This window comes from Homo sapiens, chromosome 19 (assembly GCF_000001405.40).
Source record: "Homo sapiens chromosome 19, GRCh38.p14 Primary Assembly".
Taxonomy (NCBI): domain Eukaryota; kingdom Metazoa; phylum Chordata; class Mammalia; order Primates; family Hominidae; genus Homo; species Homo sapiens.
In genome coordinates this window covers 5804463-5828927 of record NC_000019.10, presented here as the reverse complement: position 1 = coordinate 5828927, position 24465 = coordinate 5804463, and the positions used below count along the sequence as shown (strand labels likewise).

The following is a 24465-nucleotide window of genomic DNA, read 5'->3' as shown; positions in this document are numbered from 1 at the left end:
AACTGATTCCACCTGGATCTCAGGCTCCTCACCCACAGTGTCTCCCCCTTTCCCCCTCTCCAGAAGTCCACACAGCAGAGAGGTGCAGTCAGGAACAAGCTGGGGAAACTGGGTCCACCTAGACCTCAGTCTCTTCATCCCAGAAGCGAGAGGTGCAGTCAGCGACAATCTGGGGAAACTGGGCCCACCTAGACTTCAGTGTCTTCATCCCAGAAGCCCGCACCGCGGAGAGGTGCGGAAGGGAACAAGCTGGGGAAACGGGGTCCACCTAGACCTCGGTCTCTTCATCCGAGCGTAGCTTCCCTTTCCCCTCCCCAGAAGCCCACACAGCGAAGAGGTGCGGACCGGAACACGCTCGGGACGGGCAGAGGGACCCGTAGGGAGGCAGGAAGGACGGTCCCTGCCAACATAGCCCCATTCACCCCATTTTCCTTTTTGTCCGCCATAAACTGGACCCACTTTGCATCTACCCTTCCCCCAAAGCAAACAGCATCCTCCCACTACCCTGCAGCTGGGCCCCCCCCACTGGTCCCCGCTTTCCCGGTGGAGACGGCGACGTGGCCCACACGCGAGCCCCTCGCCGAGGATGAATCACCAGCCAGCTCGAGTTGCCACACTTTATCTCAGTACAGTTATCGCGAGAGTCCCGGGGCCGCGCCGGCGTGCTCTACGCACGCGCAGTCTTTCGCGGGGCCGGCCAGTGGTGCCGTCGAGGCGGGGGGAGTGGCCGCCGCGCCGGCCGAGTGAGGTAGGGTCACACGCAGGCGCACTCGCGCGCCGACAGCTCGTGCACCGTGTGGTAGCGGCTGTGCGCGTCCAGGAAGGACACCTCGTCCTCGTAGGCCGTCGGGCGGCAGCAGGGCTGCGCGCGCACCCGCTCCCGCCGCAGGCGCCGCCGCTGGCGCAGTCGTCGCAGCCCGAGGTCGTAGACGCGCGCGGCAGCCTCGCAGGCGCCTGCGCAGTAGCGGAACAGCACCGTCTCGTCGGACGCGTAGCCCAGGCCCAGCTCGCTCACGCGCACCTCCAGCTCGCGCAGCCCGCAAGGCCGCGCCCCCAACCGCGCACGCGCGCGCCGCCGCCGGGGCCCCGCCCGACGGCGCGGACCTGGGGGCCGCCCAGCCCAGGGCGTCAGCTCGCGCAGCTCCATCGCATCCGGGGCCCCCTGCAGGAGTGCACGGTCTGCGAGGGGAGGAAGAGAAAGGAGGGGGGGTCAGTGGGTGCAGGGGGTGGGAGGGAGCCCCCTACCCTCTCTGTACCCCTGCAAACGAAGACCCTTGCTGGGACGCCAGGCCTAGACGGCTTCTCGTCTCACTCCCAGGTCCCAAATTTCCCCACCCTCTTGCTGAGCTGCTCATGCACCCTCTCTGGGCGGCACTGGGGGGCACGTACACACTCACACCCCTACGCTGGTCCAAAACCCCTTTCTGAACCCTGAGCCTATATTGGCTGCCCAGAACCTGGTCCATCCTTTCTGGGCCGCTTTCCAGCCCGTCTCACCTTGAGCTGAGCTGACCGGGGTCTCTAACTCACCTCCTCTGGGCCCCTCTCTCACCCCATTGCTGCTCCATTCTCCTCGTCCTCCATCGCAAATCTATCTGGACCCCGCCCCTATGCTGGGCTGCCCCAGGACACTGGTGCATCCTCTCTGGGCAGCACTGGGGGGCTGCTTCCCATGCCCTATCCCTCTTTAGTGAGGTTGTCATAGGTCTCTAGAGCCCCCTCTTCAGGCCCCGACGTCTGCTCTGAGGCCCCGGGCTTTTCAGACTCCCTCCATCCCCACTGCCCCGCTGTGCAGTGGAGCCTCAGTTTCCCTATCCAAGAAATGAATCGGGGTGTTTGGGTTTCTCAGAATGCAGAGGAGCAGCAGGTACCGCAGCCTACTGCATCCGAAGCCTGTGTGGGGACCCCACTCCATGGAGTGGCAGCAGCTACTGTCAAGGCCACCCCCATGTGACAGGTGACAAAACGGACCATCCCAAGGTCACATCATTAGCAGGTGGCCGAGAGAGAGCGACAGAGGCGGGCTTAAAGGTCATTCTTCCTGCCTTCATCGTTCACCCAAGTTTGGCCCAGGTCCAGCCGCTTTCTCCCACACTCGCCAGGAGGTGCCCAAGTCACCGATTCCCAGGGCCTGGCAGCCTAAATTTATTACCCAAGCGGTGGCTCCACCCCCAAACTCGGAAGCCCCGGGAGAGAACTGCAGACGCTGGAATGACAGGCAGCGCTGCTGGCGGACCTGCAGGCAGGGGACTCCCAGCCCCAGAGCAGGTGGCAGTCACGCTTGTGGTTGGGAGAGGAAATCTTTAGTCCCCACCTGCCCCCCGGGCTGGTGCACCTGGCTGTCAAAAGAATGAGCCTCTGGGTGGCCCTGGGGAAGGAGGGGCTGTCTGTCTCCTGGGGTTTGGTGGGGGAGGAGATGTCTGTTCCCACAGGGGGTCTCAGAAACGAGACAAACCCAGCCTCAGAGCATGACTCTGCCACTTTCGCCACTTGCAACCTCAGGCCTCAGTTTCCCTGTCTGTCCCATGAAGCTTCCATGATCTCTGTCTTGGCCGGGGCTGAGAGGGTGGGAAATCGGTGCGGGGGGTGGGCGATGACTGAGCAACCTAGTCCGTGTTCTTTAAGCCCCGGAGCAGGACTGGAGTGGCCAGGACTGTGCTGGGGGGTTAGGGGGCACACCCAACCCCAGAGGGGTGCATCGAAGCAGACATTTGTGGGCTTGCCCGATACAATACAGGTGCCCGGCTAAATCTGAATTCCATATAAACAATGAATAATCTTTTTTTTTTTTTTGAGACGGAGTCTCGCTCTGTCGCCCAGGCTGGAGTGCAGTGGCGCGATCTCGGCTCACTGCAAGCTCCGCCTCCCGGGTTCACGCCATTCTCCCGCCTCAGCCTCCCGAGTAGCTGGGACTACAGGCGCCCGCCACCACGCCCGGCTAATTTTTTTGTAATTTTAGTAGAGACAGGGTTTCACAGTGTTAGCCAGAATGGTCTCCATCTCCTGACCTCGTGATCCGCCCACCTCGGCCTCCCAAAGTGCTGGGATCACAGGCGTGAGCCACCGCACCTGGCAACAATGAATCATCTTTTAGGATGTCTGTCCCTGCCTCCCTGCAGCGGGGCTGGCTGCTTGCACAGGGGCTAGAACACAAGGTCCCCAGCCTGAAATTCCACCAGGAGCCTAGAACATGGGGACTTGGGGAGTCAGTGGCCACTCGCTTTTTGCAGTAGGGCAGACAGGCACCCGCCCATGGGCCCTGACCCTCCGCAGTGCCTGAAATTCCTCCATTCGTGCTTTGCCCCCCGCACCCCAAGTCCTGGAGCACTGGATTTTGGGGGTCCCGCCCGGGTCTCTGTCCCAGAGTCCTAGGAAGGACTTCACGCCGCTTGCAGAGAGGGAAGTGGTGGGAGGACAGAAGTGGAGCTCGTGCTGGAGGCCACCCTTGTGCATTGTAAGGACAAGAAAAGAGGATTGTGTGGGCTGGCAGGGGCGGGCGCAGACGCGCACATGGGCGTACTCGTGGCCCACACCCAAAGGCGCTGCACACGCACCCTGCCGGCATCCACGCCTCAGATGCCCGCGCAGGCGCACGCATGGACATGTGCGTGGGCACAGGGGTCAGGGCCCACGCACCACCCTCACCCCACAGCACCTGCGGTGGGGCAGGCATTAGGGATTGGTGGGGAGTTGGGCGAGGGTCTTGCCCTCAGGGTGGGCATTTCTGTGTCCCTATAGCAGCACTTTTGCCCGTGTCTGTGCCCCCAGCCCCGTCTCTCCTCTCTCCACCCCTCCTCACCCCTTCGAATCTCTGGGCCTTTCTTCCGGTTTTTAGCTCCTGCTCCATCTCCCGCCTCCCCTTGGTCCCTGTCCCCTGGGGCAGGTCACTGGGACCTCAGATCCAGCCTCTCTCTCCTCCCACCGCCCCCCCTGCTGCGCCGCGGGGGCCAACCAGGCGAATGCCCAGGTCTAATCTCCATCTGGCCCCCACGGGACCTCAGGGCAGAGCCTAATTCCTTGTGACAGCTGAGCCGAAAGACCCCAGTTCCCAGAAGTCACCCTAGCTCCACCAGGCCATTGGGGGAATTTGCAACCTCCCTCCACCCCATCTTTTTTTAGAAAATGTATTTATTATTATAATGTTTTGAGACAGAATCTTGCTCTGTTGCTCAGGCTGGAGTATAGTGGTGCAATCATAGCTCAATGCAGCCTTGAACTCTTGGGCTCAAGTGATCCTCCCACCTCAGCCTCCCAAGTAGCTGGAACTACAGGCGTGCGCCACTACACCTGGCTAATTTCTGAAGTTTTTTGTAGAGATGGCGGTCTCGCTACATTGCCCTGGCTGGTCATGAACTCCTGGGCTCAAGAGATCCTCCTGTCTCAGCCTCCCAAAGTGCTGGGATTATAGGCAGGCGCCACCATGCCTTGCCCTGAATAATCTTTTAGGATGTCTGTCCCTGCCTCCCTGCAAGGGGGCTGGCTGGCCCTATCTTTAAAAAACCTATGACACCCCCCCACCACCTCCCACTCCACTGCCTGAAATTCTACCCCTTACGTTGGGGGTATCTGACCCCACACAGAGGAGGAGCTTACACTGGGCCAGGCGGGCAATCCGGGCGTCCAGGGTTCGAGGCAGGCGGTGCAGGGGGACCAGCGCAGGTCCGAGGCGGTGGCTGAGAAGCAGGCCCTCTCGACACATCCAGATGGACAGCACGGAGCTGCAGAGCACTGAGGCCAAGGCCGCCGCCTTCCAGCGCTGCATCCTCAGCCTGCGGGCACGGGATGGTCAGCCGCACGCCCCGTCTGTCCCTCCAGCAGCCAACGGGCACAGGGCGCTGGGCCAGGACTCAGTGTGGGGCCTTTGACTTTGAACGCCTGCCGAATGGTCGATAATCACATGGGAATGGTCCCTCAAGGAACCATTGAACAAGGAAGGGGTTGGCCTCCGTGCCAGGAGTCACAGGGAACCGCCCCCATCTGGGGGTCCCGGAGTGCCTTCCTGAGGAGCCGATGACAAGGTCCAGACTTGAATAAACGTAGGAGTTGGCCAGGCAGAGGAGAATGGCATCACAGGCAGGGGACACAGCCAGTGCAAAGGCCCCGAGGCCAGACTGAGTGTGGCGTATCCCAGGAACAGCAAGGAGGCCGGAGCGGCTGCAGCTGAGGAGCCAGGGGGAAGAGTGAAAGGAGGAGAGGTCATTCCCGGCAGGTGGCAGTGTGGGACAAAGGCGCGGGGAGGGTGGTGTTTAGGACAGTCTGGAGGCAGGAATCTGGGGCTGACACTGTTCCCTACATGCTGGTGTCCTCCATTGACTCTGCCCCTCTCTGAGCCTGTTTCCCATCCAGATGGATAAGCAGGCCCAGAAGTGGGCAGCAATGGACCAGAGCTGCCCTGGACATGGAGTCCCAGCTCTGGGCTTTTGCACAGATAGGTCCTTGCATGGAGAACACTTCTTCCCTCCCTCCCCACTCCCACTCCCCTTTCTTTCTCTTTTTCTTTTTTTCTTTTGGAGATGGAGTCTCACTCTTGTCCCTCAGGCTGGAGTGCAGTGGCGCAATCTCAGCTCACTGCAACCTCTGCCTCCCGGGTTCAAGCGATTCTCCTGCCTCAGCCCCCCGAGTAGCTGGGATTACAGGCACCTGCCAGCATGACTGGCTAATTTTTGTATTTTTAATAGAGACAGGGTTTCTCCCTGTTAGCTATGCTGGTCTCAAGCTCCTGAACTCAAGTGATCCGCCCACCTTGGCCTCCCAAAGTGCTGGGATTACAGGCATGAGCCACCGCACCCAGCCTCCTCTCTCTCTTTCTCTTTCTTTCTTTCCTTTTTCTTTCTTTCTTCTCTCTTTCTTTTTCTCTTCCTTTCTTTCCTTTCTTTCTTTCTCTCTCTCTCTTTCTTTTTTTTTGAGACAGGGTCTTGCTCTGTCACCCAGGCTGGAGTGCAGTGGTGTGATCACAGCTCACTGCAGCCTCCACCTCCTAGGCTCAAGCGATCCTCCCACCTCAGCCTCCCAAGTAGCTAGGACTGACTACAGGCATGAGCCACCGTGCCTGGCTAATTTTTAATTTTTTTTGTTTTTGTTTTTGTTTAATAGAGAGGGGAATCTCACAACGTTGCCCAGGCTGGTCTCAAACTCCTGGGCTCAAGCTATCCTTCCACTTTGGCCTCCCAAAGAGCTGGGATTACAGGCGTGAGTCACTGTACCTAGCTCTCACTCCCCTTGCAATCTCAGCTTGGAGGGTGCCTCCTCCAGGGAGCCTTCCATGGCTGCCTACCCTATTCACTTCAACCTCTGGCTGGTGCAGGGGCGCTAGTGGGCCCCCAGGAATGCCCTGAGCTTTACCCATTCGGGCACCAGTTACTTGGTGCTGTGAGTGCCTGGTGGCATCCTCCTCACTGCATACAGTCGGTGTTTAATAACTCACGTGTACACGCCCACCACACTCGACGCCGTCTGGGCTCCTCCCGAGCGTCCCGCGGCCCCCAGCCCGAGTTTACATTCCCCCTCCCGGCTGCCTAGTGTGGGGCGGCGTGGAGCCTGGCGGCCGGCCAGGTGTAAACATTTACACCGAGCACTGAAAGCCGGGCTGGATGCGGGTCAGCACCTCCGGGCCTGGGCTCGGCTCATGGGGTTCCCAGGCGCCCCCCAAATGCGTGCACCTTGTACCTCCAGCCTTGCACGCTGCCCTGCACCACCCAGAGATTTATTTGCATGGGATTTGCATTTCATTTGCATGGACCGCGCCTCGTGTCCTGATGTGCAGAAACTCAAACCACCCCTTCCCCACCCCACTCACCCCCATGGACGGCGACGACAGGAGCTACACATATCAGACCTTAAGTAACAGGACACATTTATTAAGCACCAGCTGTGTAACAGGCCTGGTGCTGAGCCCACAAGAGAGGCACTACTATCTCCATTTTACAGCTAGGGAAACCGAGGCACAAAATGGGTAGGGGCTTGTCCAAGGGTTAGAAAAGGACATGGGATTTGAACCCAGGTTCTTTGACACAGCACACACCATATGGGCTGGGCTGGGCTTGGGAGCAGATGCTGTAGTCACCCTGAGAACTCAGCACTATTGGTGGTACTTGAGACTGTTTGGTATTGGTGGTGGTTATTCTTAGTAAGGAATGAGTTCCCCAACGTGAGGGCATCTAAACAAATCCTAGACCAGCCTGGGGATCTGATGAGAGTGAATTTGCAGGGGAAGTCGATTCTCCCCCAGGGCCAGCCCAGCTGGTTCAGTGGCTCAGAGTAGGCGCTCATAGACATTTGCTGAATGATGAATGAATGAATGAATGAACACAAAGAAGCTAGGCTGACGGGTGCAGTGGCTCATGCCTGTAGTAATCCCAGCACTTTGGGAGGCTGAGGAGGGCAGATCACCTGAGGTCAGGTGTTCAAGACCAGTCTGGCCAATATGGTGAAACCCCGTCTCTACTACAAATACAAAAATTAGCCGGGCGTGGTGGCACACCTGTAATCCCAGCTACTCGGGAGGCTGAGGCAGGAGAATCGCTTGAACCCGGGAGGCGGAGGTTGCAGTGAGCTGAGATTGCACCACTGCACTCCAGCCTGGGTGACAGAATGAAACTCTGTCGCAAAAAAAAAAAAAAAAAAAAAAAAAAAAGCTAGGCACTGGGTGGCCCAGATCCTGAATTGGAGGGTCCAGAATTTCATGTCTGAGTGAACGGATGGATGGATGGATTTATTGGGAGGATGAAAAAGAAACCACAGTTGAAGTCTCTGGGCTTAGTATACAATCAGTGCATAATAAAGATGACTGTCCTGAATGGGGCTAGATTCACTGGGGGTGGGCAGGGGGCCCTCCCTGAGGAGGTGATGCATGCACTAAGACCCAAGTGTGAGAAGTCAGCCATAGGAGAATCTGGGGGCAGGTGTTCCAGGCAGAGGCATGGCCTGTGCAAAGGCCCTGGGGCAGACCACACGTGGCGTGTTGGAGGAACAGTGAGGAGGCCCGTGTGTCTGAGCAGAGTGAGGAGGGGAAGAGAGAGGAGAGGAGGTTTGGAAGGGGATGAAGCAGCTCGTGCAGGGCCTCGTGTGGGCCATGGGAAGGACATTTCATTCTTGAGGTTTTGCAGAAGCGGATGGCAGCAGCAGCATTTTGTCAGATGTCAAACCCATCCCCTTTATTCCTTTTTTTTTTTTTTTTTTTTTTTTTTTTTCTTGAGACAGAGTTTCACTCTGTTGCCCAGGCTGGAGTGTGGAGCACAGTGGTGCGATCTCGGCTCACTGTAACCTCCACCTCCTGGGTTCAAGCGATTCTCCTGCCTCAGCCTCCCAAGTAGCTGGGATTAAACGAATGTGCCACCATGTCTAAGTAATTTTTTTTTTTTTTTGAGACGGAGTCTCACTCTGTCGCCCAGGCTGAGTGTAGTGGCGCGATCTCGGCTCACTGCAACCTCCGCCTCCTGGGTTCAAGCGATTCTCCTGCCTCAGCCTCCAGAGTAGCTGGGACTACAGGCGCCCGCCACCACACCCAGCTAATTTTTTGTATTTTTAGTAGAGACAGGGTTTCACCGTGTTAGCCAGGATGGTCTTGATCTCCTCACCTTGTGATATACCCACCTCAGCCTCCAAAAGTGCTGGGATTACAGGCGTGAGCCACCGTGCCCGGCAATTTTTTTTTTTTTTTTTTGAGACGGAGTCTTGCTCTGTCGCCCAGGCTGGAGTGCAGTGGCACAATCTTGGCTCACTGCAACCTCCGCCTCCCAGGTTCACGCCATTCTCCTGCCTCAGCCTCCTGAGTAGCTGGGACTACAGGCGTCTGCCACCACGCCCAGCTAAATTTTTGTATTTTTAGTAGAGACAGGGTTTCACCATGTTAGCCAGGATGGTCTCGATCTCCTGACCTTGTGATCCACCCGCCTCAGCCTCCCAAAGTGCTGGGATTACAGGCGAGAGCCACCGTGCCTGGCCATCATCCCCTTTATTCTTAATGATCACCTACTTTATGTCCAACCCCATTTTACAAACTTAACACAGATATAGTCATTCCAACCTTACAAGCGTCCTAAGAAGCAGGTAATACCCCCACTTTTTTTTTTCTTTCTTGAGACAGGATCTCACTCTGTTGCCCAGGCTGGAGTACAGTGGTGCAATCACAGCGCCCACTGCAGCCTCAACCTACCCAGCTCAGGTGATCCTCCCACCTCAGCCTCCCAAGTAACTGGGACCACAGGCATGCACCACCACACCCAGCCAATTTTTATTTATTTTTTAAAATTTTTATTTATTTTTGAGATGGAATTTTGCTCTTGTTGCCCAGGCTGGAGTGCAATGACATGATCTCGGCTCACTGCAACCTCCACCTCCCAAGTTCAAGCAATTCTCCTGCTTCAGCCTCCCAAGTAGCTGGGACTACAGGCATGTGCCACCACGCCTGGCTAATTTTTTGTATTTTTAGTAGAGATGGGGTTTCACCATGTTGGTCAGGTTAGTCTTGAACTCCTGACCTCAGGTGATCCACCCGCTTTGGCCTCCCCAAGTGCTGGGATTACAGGCGTGAGCCACCACACCTGACCAATTTTTATATTTTTTGTAGAGACGATGTCTCATCATGTTGCCCAGGCTGGTCTTGAACTCCTGGGCTCAAGCGAGCCTCCTGCCTTGGCTTCCCAAAGTGCTGGGATTACAGGCATGAGCCACTGCGCCTGGCTGCAAGTAATACCCTTATCCCCACTGCATGAATGGGAAACAGGTCCAGAGGTGGGAAGTGACTTGTCCAAGGTCATAGAGCCAGCATTTGAATGCTGGTGGTAGGAGGGGGAGACAGGCAGGAAACCTACCCGGGCCCCGGACCTCTCTGGACCCCCTCCACCCTGCTTGCCCACACATTCAAGTCTTGGAGTGGTGTGACTCAGTTTCCCCATTGGATTGGAACAAGTCTTGGGCTGTGGTGGTCTGTTTCTACCAAGGGCCTAGCCCCAGCATGGCCTGGTCACAGGACCCCCTGGAGGCCTTGGAGCTTCAGACTCTCCCCACCTAGAGCTCTGGTGGAGGGCAGGAAATCGGGGGGCCATTGGCGGAGGGGGCCCAGCAGGCAGGGCTGATTAGCAGCCATGAACAATGGGCCTCTCTGTTCTCGGGGGCCACCTAACTGGTTTGTCTCTGGCACGGACGCGACCAGGTGGGGGTGATGTGGGTGTGGCGGAGGGCACGGGGAGGGGGCTGGGTGTGCACAATGCGTGTTCCTGTGTCCCGGAGGCCCTAACCTAGGGAGGCATCTGTACCTGTCCAACTGCATAGAGACACACATTTGTAGGTACAGGAGTGCCCACTGTCATTTGCAATCTAGCTCAGGTTATCATCTGTGCCCTGAGACCCCTCATCCTGGCCACACACACAGGGGTACACAGGTGAACACGCTGCCAGCACCCACAGCTGCCAGAGCCCAGGAGTTCAAGACCAGCCTGGGCAACATAGCGAGATGCCCCATCTCACACAGCACACTGTCAGGCTTACACTTGTGTGCCCACTCACACTCATTCACACCCAGCCATCTCATATCCTCACACTCAGGTTCTTTCATACTCGTATACACACACTCACACACTCACACACTGCCCACACACGATCACACTCACATGCTCAAGCATTCTCACTCGAGCACACTTGCGTGCTCAAACGCTCCCACATTTGGCTGGGTGCAGTGGCTCACACCTGTAATCCCAGCACTTTGGGAGGCTGAGGCGGTTGGATCACCTGAGGTCAGGAGTTCGAGACCAACCTGGCCAACATGGTGAAACCCTGTCTCTACTAAAAATACAAAAATTAGCCGGGTGTGGTGGTGGGCGCCTGTAATCTCAGCTACTCGGGAAGCTGAGGCAGGAGACTCACTTGAACCTGGGAGGTGGAGGTTGCAGTGAGCTGAGATCTCCCCACTGCACTCCAGCCTGAGCGACAGAGCGAGACTCCATCTCAAAAAAGAAAAAAAATTAGCCGGGTGTGGCAGTGTGCGCCTGTAATCCCAGCTACTCGGGAGGCTGAGGCAGGAGAATCGCTTGAACCCGGGAGGCAGAGGTTGCAGTGAGCTGAGATCACACCACTGCACTCCAGCCTTGGTGACAGAGCAAGACTCCGTCTGGAAACGAAACAAAACAAAACACTCCCACATTCACTGTTTTCACATTTCCACACTCAAACAGGGTTACACACACATCCTGGGTTGTCCTCACACTCACACACACTTGGACTTTTTCACACGCATTGAAACACAATCACACATTTGACCATGATGACACTCACACGCCTGCCTGCCTGCCTGCCTGCCTTCTTCTTTTTCTTTCTCTCTCTCTCCCTCCCTTCCTTCCTCTCTTTCCCTCCCTCCCTCCCTCCCTTCCTTCCTTCCTATTTCCTTTCTCTTTCTTTTTCTTCCTCTCTCTCTCCCTCCCTCCCTTCCTTCCTTTCTCTCTCTCTTTCCCTTCCTTCCTTCCTCTCTTTCTCTCTTTCCCTTCCTTCCTTCCTTTCTCTCTTTCTCTCTCTCCCTCTCTCTTTCCCTCCCTCCCTCACTCCTTTCCTCCCTCCTTCCTTCCCTCTCTCTCTCTTTCTTTGATAGAATCTTGCTCTGTTGCCCAGGCTGGAGTGCAGTGGCGCAACCTCGGCTCACTGCAACCTCTGAGTCCTGGGCTCAAGTGATCCTCCTGCCTCAGCCTCCCAAGTAGCTGGGACCACAGGTGTGTGCCACCATGCCTCGCTATATTTTTGTTTTTGTTTTTGTTTTTGTTTTTTGGTAGAAACTGGGTTTCACTGTGTTGCTCAGGCGGTCTCAAACTCTTGGCCTCAAGCAATCCTCCCGCCTCAGCCTCCCAAAGCACTGGGATTCCAGGTGTGATCCACTGCACCCAGCCAGTATTTTCATACTTACACCCAAACATGATCCCATGCATACTCAGATGTTTCCAGGCTCACATATTCTAACACAATCACATCCACACACCAGAACACCACCGCATGAATCCACTAGTGTGTTCTCACACTCACATTTGAATACGTCGTGCTCACATGCTAGGGCGTTTTCACAGTCACACTCAAACATGACCACACTCACACACTTGGACGCTTCCACCTTCATTCAAAACACTCACTGGCTGGGCAAGGTGGCTCATGCCTTTGATCCCAGCACTTTGGGAGGCCAAGGCAGGAGGATTGCTTGAGGCCAGGAGTTTGAGACCAACCTGGGCAATATAGGGAGACCCTGTCTCAGAAAAGAAAAGAAGACAAGACGGGGCACGGTGGCTCACGTCTGTAATCCCAGCACTTTGGGAGGCCAAGGCAGGCAGATCATTTGAGGTCAGGAGTTTGAGACCAGTCTGACCAACATGGTGAAACCCCGTCTCTACTAAAAATACAAAAAAAATTAGCCAGTCATGGTGGCAGATGCCTGTCATCCCAGCTACTCAGGAGGCTGAAGCAGGAGAATCGCTTGAACCTGGGAGGCGGAGGTTGCAGCGAGCCGAGACTGCACCACTGCATTCCAGCCTGGACGACAGAGCAAGACTCCGTCTCAAAAATGAAAAAAGAAAAGAAAAGAAGATGAGAAGAGAAAAGACAAAAAGAGTCAAGGTCATGAAGGACAAAGACAGATGGAGGAGGAGTCTCAGATTGGAGGGGCCAAAGGAAAGGGGATGGCTAAATGTCATCTGGGATCCTGGATGGACCCTGGGACAGAGAAAGGACGTTAGCAGAAATACTGGTGAAACTCGGCCAGGCTCAGTGGCTCACGCCTATAATCCCAGCACTTTGGGAGGCTGAGGCGGGGAGTTCGCCTGAGCCTGGAAGTTCGAGACCAGCCTGGATAACATAGTAAGACCCCATCTCTACAAAAATAGAAAATAATAAATTTTTAAAAGACACCATCGGCCAGGCACAGTGGCTCACGCCTGTAATCCCAGCACTTCGAGAGGCCAAGGCGGGTGGATCACTTGAAGTCAGGAGTTCGAGACCAGCCTGGCCAACATGGCAAAACCCCATCTCTACTAAAAATACAAAAATTAGCCAGGCACGGTGACAGGCACCTGTAATCCCAACTACTCAGGAGGCTGAGGCAGAAGAATTGCTTGAACCCGGGAGAAGGAGGTTGCAGTGAGTCGAGATCGCACCATTGCACTCCAGCCTGGGCAATAGAGTGAGTCTCTGTTTCAAAAAGAAAAAAAAAAAAAAAAAAACAGGCCGGGCGCGGTGGCTCACGTCTGTAATCCCAGCACTTTGGAAGGCTGAGGCAGGCGGATCCCTGGAGGTCAGGAATTTGAGACCAGCCTGGCCAACATGGCGAAACCCCGTCTCTACTAAAAATACAAAAATTAGCCGGGTGTGGTAGTGCACGCCTGTAATCCCAGCTATTAGGGAGAGTGAGTAAGGCAGGAGAATTGCTTGAACCCAAGGGGTGGAGGTTGCAGTGAGCCGAGATCGCGCCACTGTACTCCAGCCTGGGTGACAGACCGAGACTTCGTCTCCAAAAAAAAAAAAAAAAAAAAATCACACTCACACACTTGAGTGCTTTCACACTTGTGGTGAAACGTTATATCCACGTGCTGGTGTTTGCACACACACACACACACTTGAACAACCCCACAGTGAAAAACCAGGGTGTTTTCACACTCACACTCAAGCATGATCCCACTTACACACACAGGTTTTCCCCACTCACACGTGGTAATCCGGTCTCACAGAGACACACACAAGAGCATCCATTGTCATTTGTGCTCTGGCCAAGGTCCCCAAGACCCTCCTCCTGGCCACACACACACACAGGGGTGCACAGGTGAACACGCCACCAACGCCCACAGCTGCAAAGATTCCAGGGCGCACAGACACGGTGGGAGGAGAGTGAGAGGAGGGGAAGCAGATGGGGCCGGGGGACTCAGGAGGGAACGGCCCCGCCCTGACCACTGCCCGTGTCCACCCCTGCAGGGATCCCAGGTGCCGTCTACATTGCCTGTGCAGGGCCTGGCTAGAGATCCCTTCCCAGTCCTGGAGAAAACGTAGAAATCCTGGAGAACCTGCATTGCCTGGAGGGAGGGAAGCCTCCTTCCTTCCTGGAGGGGCTGGGAGCGTAGCAGTGTGAGGTGCAGCAAGAAGGACCTAGGACAGACCTCCACTTTTAGCTGGAGGCCACACAATCCCCACAGCTGGGGAAGGAAGGGGAAAGAAGGGAAATGGACTCAGAGAGAGGCAAAGAGCAGCCCAACGTCACACAGCTAGGCAGGCCCTTCCAATCAACCAAAGCAACAGACAGCCAGCGCAAGGGTGTGTGTTTCTGGCACCTTCCTTGGTGATGCCAGGAAATGTTGCTCATTATCTTTATGCACAGGCAACGCCCTGGCACCCCCACTCCCCTTCCCACCGAACTCCCCAGGGGACACCTGCCGGGCACACCCAGTCCCAGGGATAAAAGCCTCTGTCCTACAGAACTCCCGATCTCAAAGAGTAGCACCTGAGAGATGAAGAAAGGGAGGGGGACCCTCTCTCCATGTAGGCATCTCTTCTAATCTTGGGGAGGCCTGGAATTGGGGCCTATCTTAATTTGGCAAACTCCTACTCTACCCTGAAAGCCCTAGCTCCTACAGCCCCTCCACCAGAAACCCTTCCCTGCTACCCATCTTGGCCACCCCCAGCCATGGGTGCCTTCCTCTTGCCCAGCCCTGTAAGCGTGGTGTCTGTGCCCATGACTGTCTTTGCTGGATGGGAGTTTCTAGAGGGACATCTTCGGCTGAGTTTTTGCAGGGCACAGGGCTGACTTTGAGAATTCAGTTTACAGAGGGGTGAGCTTGCTGCAGATCCCAAGTCTGCACACTTTTGCCTGTGGGGGTGCTGCCCTGCATACACTTCTCCTTCCTCTCCGTTTCACTCCTGGTCCTCCTGTGACTCAGTTTCCCCATATATATATATATTTTTTGAGACGGAGTCTGGCTCTGTTGCCCAGGCTGGAGCGCAATGGTGTTATCTCAGCTGATTGCAACCTCTGCTTCTCAGGTTCAAGCCATTCTCCTGCCTCAGCCTCCCAAGCAGCTGGGACTACAGATGCCTGTCACCATGCCTGGCTAATTTTTGTATTTTGTCTTTTGAGACAGAGTCTCACTCTGTCACACAGGTTGGAGTGCAGCAGTGCGATCTCAGCTCACTGCAACCTCTGGCTCCCGAGTTCAAGCGATTCTCCTGTCTCAGCCTCCCGAGTAACTGGGACTACAGGTGTGCGCCACCATGCCTGGCTTTTTTTTTTTTTCAGACGGAGTCTTGCTCTGTTGCCCAAGCTGGAGGCTGGAGTGCAGTGGCATGATCACAGCTCACTGCAACCTCCGCCTCCCAGGTTCAAGCAATTTTCCTGCCTCAGCCTCCCGAGTAGGTAGGATTACAGCCATAAGCCACCATGCCTGGTTAATTTTTTTGTATTTTTATTAGAAACGAGGTTCCACCATGTTGGCCAGACTGGTCTAAAACTCCTGACCTCAAGTGATCCGCTCGCTTCGGCCTCCCAAAGTGCTGGGATTACAGGCGTGAGCCACCGCGCCTGGCCAAACTTTTATATTTTTTAGTAGAGACAGGGTTTCACCATGTTGGCCAGGCTGGTCTCAAACTCCTCACTTCAGGTGATCCGCCCGCCTCTGCCTCCCAAAGTGCTGGAATTATAGGCATGAACCACTGTGCCCAGCCTCCATCTGTTTTTTTTTTTAAATTAAAAAAAATTTTTTTTAATAGAGACAAAGTCTCGCCATGTTACCCAGGCTGGTCTCGAACTCCTGGCCTCAAGCGATCCTCCCTTCTTTGCCTCCCAAAGTGCTGTGATTACAGGTGTGAGCCACCATGCCTGGCCTCCCATCTTCAATAGGGCACGAAGGGTGCCACCCAGCACTGTAGGAAAGCCAGAGAGGACCTGGAAGAGCTTGACCAAGTGGCTCTTGTGCTCTTGCCACTGCCCATGGGTAGAGGATGCCAGGCCGTGAAGCCAGAACATGCCAGTGGGGAAGTGCCTGTGTGTGTGAACGCCGCGGCATACATGTGTTCGCGCGCCTGTGCCTCTGTTTTCCCCAAGTGCTGATAGCTCGAGGGCTCACAGCTGGGCCTGTTCCTAGGGCAGCCTCCTGGTCTCCTGTTCCTAGATCGCCCCTAGGAGTTCCCTGAGGTTCCACTGGTGGAGAAACTGAGGCCCCATGAGGGGCAAGACTTGGCCAGGGGTCTGGGCCTCTCAAGGCAAGACTCAGTGATTCTGCAAAACACAAAACAAATTCCACAGCCCACAAAAATGTGCCCCCTCCCTCAGAGGGCCCCAGGGCCTGGGCCCACCCCATGGGAGGGATGAGGCAGCCAGGACAGCCTCGAACTGGCGACACACATCTGGGGGCAAACCAGGAACATCTGGCAAGCACAGCTGGTTCCGATACTGCGTCTGCGGGGGCCAGAGGCCAACCTAGGGGTGGCTTCATGTGTCAGGGGGTGCAGACACAGACACCCCCAGCCGCCCCTTCCAGGTCTGCCGGAGAAAGAGGTCCAGCCTCTCCTCTTCTTCCCCCAGCACAGAAGCTGAGTGCTGCCCAACTGCTAGAACTATCGCTGGCTTCCTGCTACCCTGGGCATCAAGTCCCAGCACATGAGCTTGTCTTGAGGGACTCTGGGTCTGTCTTTGCCAAAGTGAAGCTGAGGGATGGATGGTCAGGGATAGTGGTTTCTGGGGAGGAGTATGGTGGCTCCTTCATGATAATAATAGTGGTAAAATAATAATAATAATAATAATAACTGGGCCCGGCACGGTGGCTCACACCTGTAATCCCAGCACTTAGGAGGCCGAGGCGGGTGGATCACGAGGTCAGGAGATCGAGACCATCTTGGATAACATGGTGAAACCCTGTCTCTACTAAAAATACAAAAAAAATTGGCTGGGCGTGGTATTGGGCGCCTGTAGTCCCAGCTACTTGGGAGGCTGAGGCAGGAGAATGGCGTGAACCCAAGAGGCGGAGCTTGCAGTGGGCCAAGATCGCGCCACTGTACTCCAGCCTGGGCAACAGAGCGAACTCTGTCTCAAAAAAATAAATAAATAAAATAATAATAATAATAACTGGGCCGGGTGCGGTGGCTCACAGCTGTAATCCCAGCACTTTGGGAGGCCAAGGCAGGTGGATCACTTTAGGCCAGGAGTTCGAGACCAGCCTGGCTAACATGGTGAAACTCCATCTCTACTGAAAATACAAAAAAAAAAAACAAAAAACAAATTAGCCGGGTGTGGTGGTGCACTCCACCAGTCCCAGCTACTCAGGAGGATCAGGCAGGAGAATCACTTGAACCAAGGACATGGAGGTTGCAGTGAGCCAAGATCGCGCCAGTGCACTCCAGCCTAGGCGACAGGGCGAGACTCCGTCTCTAATAATAATAGTAATAATAACTGAAACTAACACTCATGAACAACACTATTAGTGCCATTCTAAGCACTTTACATGTAGTAACTTGTATCAAGGTATGGACTATTTTATCCCCATTTGGTAGGTGGAAAACTGAGGTCCAGAGAAGTGAAGTAACTTGCTCAGATTCAAACAACCTAAGTGGCTGAGCTGGGATTTGAACACAGGTGGTCAGCAAACTCCTACTCATTCCTCAAAGACTCACTTCCAACACTCCTCCCTCCATATTCTTTTTTCTTTTATTATCCAATCAATGGCTGCAAAACCTCTATTTTTTTCTTTTTTTCAAGACAAAAGTCTCGCTGTGGAGTGCAGTTGCACGATCTCGGCTCACTGCAACCCCACCTCTGGGGTTCAAGCGGTTCTCCTGCCTCAGCCTCCTGAGTAGCTGGGATTACAGGTGCACGCCACTACACCCAGCTAATTTTTTTGTATTTTTAGTAGAGACGGGGTTTCACCATGTTGGCCAGGCTGGTCTTGAACTCCTGACCTCAAGTGATCCTCCTGCCTCAGACTCCCAAAGAGCTGGGATTACAGGTGTGACAACCGTGCCCAGCCTATAACCTATATATTCTTTTTTTTTTTTGAGATGGAGTCTCGCTCTGTTGCCAGGCTGGAGTGCAGTGGAGCGATCTCAGCTCAGTGCAACCTCTGCCTCCTGGGTTCAAGCGATTCTCCTGTCTCAGCCTCCCAAGTAGCTGGGATTACAGGCACGAGCCACCATGTCCAGCTAATTTTTGTATTTTTAGTAGAGATGGGGTTTCACCATGTTGGCCAGGGTGGTCTTGATCTGACCTCGTGATCCGCCCGCCTCGGCCTCCCAAAGTGCTGGGATTACAGGCACGAGCCACTGCGCCCGGCTGTAACCTCCATATTCTTAACCACGTGCTTTCTGGCCTAACAACAATAACAACACCAGCAATGTTGGCTATTCCATTATTTAGAGGCAGACACTGTGATGAGTGCTTTCCTCTACATTTAATTCTCCCACAGTCCCTGAAAAACATGTTATTATTATTAGCCCTGTTTTCCACGTAGGGAAACTGAGGCTAAGAGAAGTTAAGTGACTTATTCAAGGGCACACAGCAAGTAAGCAGCTGAGGCCGGTTGTGGTGGCTCATGCCTATAATCACAGCATGTCGGGAGGCGAAGGTGGGAGGACTGCTTGAGACCAGGAGTTCAACACCAGCCTGGCCAACATAGCAAGACTCTGTCTTTACAAAAAAAAATTTTTTTTTTTTTTTTTTTGAGACAGAGTCTTGCTCTGTCCCCAGGCTGGAGTGCAGTGGCGCGATCTCGGCTCACTACAAGCTCTGCCTTCCGGGTTCACGCCATTCTCCTGCCTCGGCCTCCCGAGTAGCTGGGACTACAGGTGCCTGCCACCATGCCCAGCTAATTTTTTTTGTATTTTTAGTAGAGACGGGGTTTCGCCATGTTAGCTAGGATGGTCTTGATCTCCTGACCTCGTGATCCGCCAGCCTCGGCCTCCCAAAGTGCTGGGATTATAGGCATGAGCCACCACACCTGGCCAAAAAAAAATGTTTTTAATTAAAAGTAACAAGTGTCTGAGCTGGGATTGGAACCTGGATCCAACTCCAAACTTGTTCTCTCCCGGACTCCACAACTACTGCCTGGGAACCCGCTGGCCTGTGTTAACAAGAGGAAAAGAGGAGAGGTGAGAGAGGGGCGTAGGACCTGCTGTTTGAGAGAACAGTGGCGCTGAGACCCAGGGAGGTACGAGATTTTCTTAAAGACACACAGCAGAGCAGATCCAGCCAGTAAAAGGCCCCAGTGGCAGAAAGCCCAGAGTGCCCGGCTGGGTTCCGCCTCCAGCACACGAATTAACCTGACAAACACTTATTGAGCGCCTACTGTGTGCCAGGGCCTGGCTGGGGACCAGGGACTCGGTGGTAACCAAGGCCACCCTGGGCCCCTCCCCGACAAACTCACCATCCAGTCGGGGAGACAGATAATAAATGTGAAATAAGGTAATTAGATGTCAAGAGCATGTAAACAACAACAAAAAAAAAACCAGGATGGGGCTGGGTGCAGAGTGGCTCATGCTTGGAATCCCAGCACTTTGGGAGGCTGAGGCGGGAGGATCAGTTGAGCCCAGGGTTTTGAGACCAGCCTGGGCAACATAGCGAGACCCCCGTCTCTACAAAAAATTTTAAAATTAGCTGGGCTTGGTGGCATGTACCTGTAGTCCCAGCTACTCAGGAAGCTGACGCAAGAGGATCGCTTGAGTCCAGGAGGTGGAGGCTGCAATGAGCTATGATTGCGCCACTGCACTCTAGTCTGGGCGACAGAGCAACACCGTCTCAGAAAAAAAAAAAAAAAAAACTCAGGATGAAGCCATAGTGACTGGAGGCTGCTTCTAGACTGGGGAGTCAAGGAGGGCTTCTCAGAGGAGAAAGCATTTGAGCTGACGCCTGGATGACAGTAAAGATGCCACCATTGGACGGGCGCAGTGGCTCACACCTGTAATCCCAGCACTTTGGGAGGCCGAGGCGGGAGGATCATGAGGTCAGGAGATCAAGACCATCCTGGCTAACACAGTGAAACCCCGTCCTTACTAAAAATACAAAAAATTAGCCGGGCGTGGTGGTGGGCGCCTGTAGTCCCAGCTACTCGGGAGGCTGAGGCAGGAGAATGGTGTGAACCCGGGAGGCGGAGCTTGCAGTGAGCCGAGATCGCACCACTGCACTCCAACCTGGGTGACAGAGCGAGACTGTCTCAAAAAAAAAAAAAAAAAAGCCACCATTGAAGATCTGGAAAGAGTGTTCCAGGCGGAGGGAGCTGCACGTATAAAGGCTCGGAGGCAGGACCGTGCCTGTTCGAGATGACCAGCGTGGCTGGAGTGCCAGGAGCCAGGGGACAATGCAGGGAGATGAGGCGGGAAGTAACGAGGGCCCTGTGGCCTGCAGGGTCAGTGCCCCGCAGTCCCCCACCGGCACCTGGAGCTCTCTCTTCCTGTACCCGCCACCCAGCTGTGTCTGGGGAGGGAGGCTAGGGAGCGTGTGTGTGCCAGCTTCTTAGACCCACCATTTCTGGCCCCGGCCCTCTGTGGTTGGGCTATAAAGTTGCCACCTTGACCACACCAGTCTCTTGGGGCTGGCCAGGCTGCCCCAGGGCTGGCCTCGGAGGCATCTGGAGCTGGCAGGAGGGGGGTCCCCGGGGTGGGATGACAGGATCAGCCTAATGAGGCCTGGCATGGCTAAGCAGCTGGCACAGGTCCCAGCGGGTGGCTTGAGCGACATGGGTCCTCCGGGAGCGGCCAGGACACCACAAGATGCTGGCCATCTGATGGAAAGAGAAACTGAGGCACAGACCCCAGATGAAGGTTAAACCCTAACACTGGGTGAGACTGGGAACCACTCTTCAGTTTCCCGGGAAACAGGTCAGCTCAATCATCTTGTCTTTCTTCTTTTGAGACGGGGTCTCACTCTGTCACCCAGGCTGGAGTGCAGTGGTGCGATCTCAGCTCACAGCGGCCTCGACCTCCTGGGCTCAAGAAGTTCTCCCACTCCAGCCTCCTGAGTAGCTGGGACCAGAGGGGGATGCCACCACACCTGGCTAATTTTTGCATTTTTGGTAGAGAGGGGGTCTTGCTATGTTTCCCAGGCTAGTCTGGAACTCCTGGGCTCAAAGGATCCACCTGCCTTGGCCTCCCAAAGTGTTGGGATTACAGGCATGAGCCACTGCACCTGGCCATCATCTTTTCCATCTCCCCAAATTCAAATTGTACCTTGGTTCCTGACACACTGCGCTATTTAAGCACGAACAGTGCCCTCTCTCTGGGCCTTAGTTTCCCCACTTGGGAAGTGAGGGCCACATGCTGTAAGCTGGGCCTGCTGTCTGATTTCTTCCAGGGCTCACCTGAAGCCTGATTTCATTTGGATTTGACAGGGAGACCCCTCCATTCCAACATCATCATCTCCGAGACACCCTTCCTGCAGGCATGCCCCATTCATATCCACTCTTTCTTCAGGCTTCCTTCAAGGCCATTATCAGCCCTGCAAGTGCAAGGCTGGTTTGGGAGCCTCCTGTCCATCTCCCGACCCCAACCCCCGGCCACCACCTCCACCTTGAGGCCCCAGAGCCTCTGCCTCAACTTGGAGGACCAGGGAGATGCATCAGCGGAGGAAGCCCACAGCCCCCCAGCAAAGATAGTCCAGCCCAGTGACTCCAGATACATTAACAACTTGCACCTCTCTGATCTGCGTATTCAGCCCCTACCTCCAGGGATGCAACCTTGAGTGCCCCAGCCCAGTTCTTCCTCTGCCAACCTTCTAGAACAGTCTCTCCCACACTCACCAAGGTGCCTTGACTATTCCATGCCTCCAGATCTTTGCATGCACAGCCACCTGGAATGCCTTTTCCTTTCCCACTTAGAAAACTCCTACTCATCCTTCACAGCCCCACCTCTGAGGCCCTTCCTCCAGGAAGTCTTCTCTGACATTCCTACCCTGAGGTAGAGCCCTCCATCCCCACTCTGAGCTTCCCCAGCCCTGTGTCCCTGGGTCTAAATCTGCCTCCCTTGAAGGACAGCACCCAACAACCCTGACACCAGTCAACCACGCGGTTGCCATCGACACACATTTGTCGAAACAATCTTTTGATTGTGTTGTGCCCGGCTGCAAACTTTTTGAGTCCCTTCTGCCCAGCTCTTGAAAGCTGTCTCCTCTGTTCGCTCCCTGAAAACTGGGACCTGAAACGCCGAGGGGCCAGTGCTGATGGTGGAGTTTCAGATGCAGTACCCAGCTGAAGAGGGGAATGTTTTATTTTCTTCCCTGCACCCCTGGAAGAAGCTTTCTGTAGCTCCCTGGGGGTGGAGTCGGTGCCGGAGCTATGAACCTCGGGAGTCTTAGGATGAAGGGAGGAGGGAGGGGTGTCCAAAGGGCCCCAAGGCAAGAAGCTGGGGGTGGGAGAAGCTGGCAGTGTGGGTGGGATCCTGCCCCTCACTGACATCCTCTGAGGCTGGTCACACCCCACCCAGGCTTCCTCAGCCCGGGGCACTCAGAGACAGACAAAGAGGGCCATGGAACAGGGACAAGGATGTAGAGAACAGGGAAAGGGCAGGGGAGACAGGCAAGAGGGAGGAAAGTCAGGGGTCCGGCCTCCTGCACCCCCCTGCTTTAAGCCCCTGGCCCCACTCCCCAAATCTGGACCAATGACGAGCCCTGCAGGTAATCACAGGCCTGTGGGCAGGTCGGATGCGTTCTGGGGAGGGGACAGTGGTGGCATTCACCCTGGGAGAGCCATTTCTCTCTCCAGCACACCCCCCTCCCCACTAATCTGTCTGCAGCCCCCTTGGGCCTAATAACTCCTAATCCACAAACCACCTCCTGGGACAATTCGGGGCTATCCCCGTGCAGGAGACACCTTTTATAAAAAGCAGGAAAGGCAGGCACAGCCTCCCGCCACTTCACATCCAGGCTTTGCCCTTAAGGGACCCCCACCCCCAACACCAAAGGGTTTCACGCCCTCTGGTGGCTGAACGGGCTGCTCCAGGAGCCGAGAGGGCCCGGCCCTCACCGGAGGACACCGTGTCCCCGGCGGCGGCGGCGGCGAGCAGGGAACGCGCCACTGACAGATGTTTACTTCTGTGCGCAGCTGGACCGCGACGGCAGCCCCCCGCCCGGGCTCTGCAGGATCCGGAAGCCCCCCAACGGCCCCTTGGAGACCACATGGCTAAAGGGCTGTCTGGGTCTCGCCCTCCTAGAGGCTAAGGGGATTCTGGGGAGGGCACCGTGCGTTCCTCAGATGCACACTTGGAGGTTTTAGGAGACAGGAGTGCGCCCGCCCCGTCGGACAGGGACACCGCGGCTGGATTCGGGCTTGGAGAGCCGCTTAGGATCTGGCTTCACGCCCCCGCCCCTCCCCACGCGCTGACCTGTCGTCCCTCTGACCCCACCCTCATACACCCGCTGGTTCTGCTGCAGGAGGGAATCCCCTGGTCTACTCGGAGTCCTCAGCACCCTCCATGCCCCGTCCATGGGGCAGGTCGTCCCCGTCGTACCCTGCTGCCCCCCCACCTGCCCCGCCTGCCCCTTGCTTACCTGCTGTGGGCGCCGGACTACCCGTCAGTGGCGGCCGCGCGGCCCCAGCCCCTGCCCCAGCCGCCGCGACCGCCATCCGGGCCGCCTGGGCCCGCGGTGCCCGGGGGGGGCCCGGGCCGGAGGGGGCGGCCGCGGGCGGGGTGCGGCGCGGGCCGGCCCATGGGGCCCCCCGGGCTCGCTTAGCCGCGGGCTGCGGCCATCCCGGGCCGGCGGGGGCTGGGGCTGGGGGTGGGTGCCCTGGACGGCCGGCGGCTCAGAGGGCGCGGGGCGCGGGGGCGCACGGACGGCGCAGGCGGCCTCGGCGCGCAGCACGGGGCTCCGGGGCGGCGGCGAGAGGGACCTGGGCACTCGGAGCGGCTTCAGGGCGCGCTCTCCCGCCGCCTCCGCCCGTCCCGCCGCGGACGGCTCGGCCGGCGCGGGGCCGGGGGCGGGGCCGGGGGCGGGGCTGGGGGCGGTGGCTCGGGTTTCCCCGGCCCTCCCCGCCCTCCCCGCCCCCGCCGGAGGGGACCGGAGGAGCGCAGGTGGCAGAGGCGCGGGAACCAACCACAGAGCCCCCTTTAGACGGCTTTCTCCCCCGGCCCCGGGGACTCCGACGGCTCCCCTTCGGGAGAGCCGGGACCCCAAGACACCCCCTCCGAAGGTGTCTAAGAGCCGCAGCTGTCCCGACGCCAGTGCCTGTGGCCCTTGGCGCCCCCCACATTCTATCGAGGATCTGACCTTTCTGCCAGACCTCCCAAACCTGTCCCAGGTCCCCTTCCAGAGAACAAGGCGCCAAGAAGTCCCTTCACTAAAGAAGCCCCTCAAGGGAAGCCCCCAGAGCGGCGCCCCCCTCAAACTAGCTGTTTCCCATCCTCACTCCGGGGACCCCTGACGGCTCCTCTTGCCTAAATCCGGAGCTCCAAGACGCTCCCCCGACCCCTTCTGGCGAACTAAGACCCATGGCCCACACCCCAACAGCTGTGGCCCCCGCATACAGCTCCCCCCACCCC

At 56.3% G+C, this 24465-nt stretch overlaps 1 protein-coding gene across 2 annotated transcripts, besides 4 other annotated features; it reads right to left on the bottom strand.

Moving 5' to 3' along the window:
- Positions 505–1193: an enhancer, noted in NCBI's record as "H3K27ac-H3K4me1 hESC enhancer chr19:5827746-5828434 (GRCh37/hg19 assembly coordinates)". NCBI's record gives its function as "activates a minimal SCP1, AML or CMV promoter by ChIP-STARR-seq in naive H9 embryonic stem cells {active_cell/tissue: H9 hESC(naive)}" and the evidence as "EXISTENCE:reporter gene assay evidence [ECO:0000049][PMID:30033119]".
- Positions 568–897: a silencer, noted in NCBI's record as "silent region_9935". NCBI's record gives its function as "represses an Ori minimal core promoter by ATAC-STARR-seq in GM12878 lymphoblastoid cells {active_cell/tissue: GM12878}" and the evidence as "EXISTENCE:reporter gene assay evidence [ECO:0000049][PMID:35858748]".
- Positions 604–23861, bottom strand: NRTN (neurturin). 2 transcript variants are annotated; one of them, NM_004558.5, is made up of 3 exons: positions 23477–23861; positions 4594–5160; positions 604–1179 (listed from the first exon to the last, which is right to left on the bottom strand). In NM_004558.5, the coding sequence occupies exons 2-3, from the start codon at positions 4760–4762 to the stop codon at positions 755–757; spliced, it is 594 nt and encodes a 197-aa protein (NP_004549.1). In that variant the 5' UTR covers positions 4763–5160; positions 23477–23861; the 3' UTR covers positions 604–754. The 2 variants fall into 2 exon arrangements, with proteins under 2 accessions (NP_004549.1, XP_047294846.1); XM_047438890.1 differs by lacking the exon at positions 23477–23861 and having other exon boundaries at positions 4594–5511.
- Positions 1068–1137: a silencer, noted in NCBI's record as "silent region_9934". NCBI's record gives its function as "represses an Ori minimal core promoter by ATAC-STARR-seq in GM12878 lymphoblastoid cells {active_cell/tissue: GM12878}" and the evidence as "EXISTENCE:reporter gene assay evidence [ECO:0000049][PMID:35858748]".
- Positions 1936–2230: a silencer, noted in NCBI's record as "tiled region #2060; HepG2 Repressive DNase matched - State 1:Tss, and K562 Repressive non-DNase unmatched - State 8:EnhW". NCBI's record gives its function as "represses a minimal TATA promoter and a strong SV40 promoter by Sharpr-MPRA in HepG2 and K562 cells {active_cell/tissue: HepG2 | K562}" and the evidence as "EXISTENCE:reporter gene assay evidence [ECO:0000049][PMID:27701403]".
- Positions 23862–24465: the final 604 nt, after the last annotated feature.

Coding starts and splice junctions, on each gene's coding strand:
- NRTN (NM_004558.5), bottom strand. CDS start 4,762: ATGCAGCGCTGGAAGGCGGCGGCCTTGGCCTCAGTGCTCTGCAGCTCC. Junction 1,180..4,593: donor GATTGCCCGCCTGGCCCAGT/GTAAGCTCCTCC, acceptor CTCCCCTCGCAG/ACCGTGCACTCCTGCAGGGG.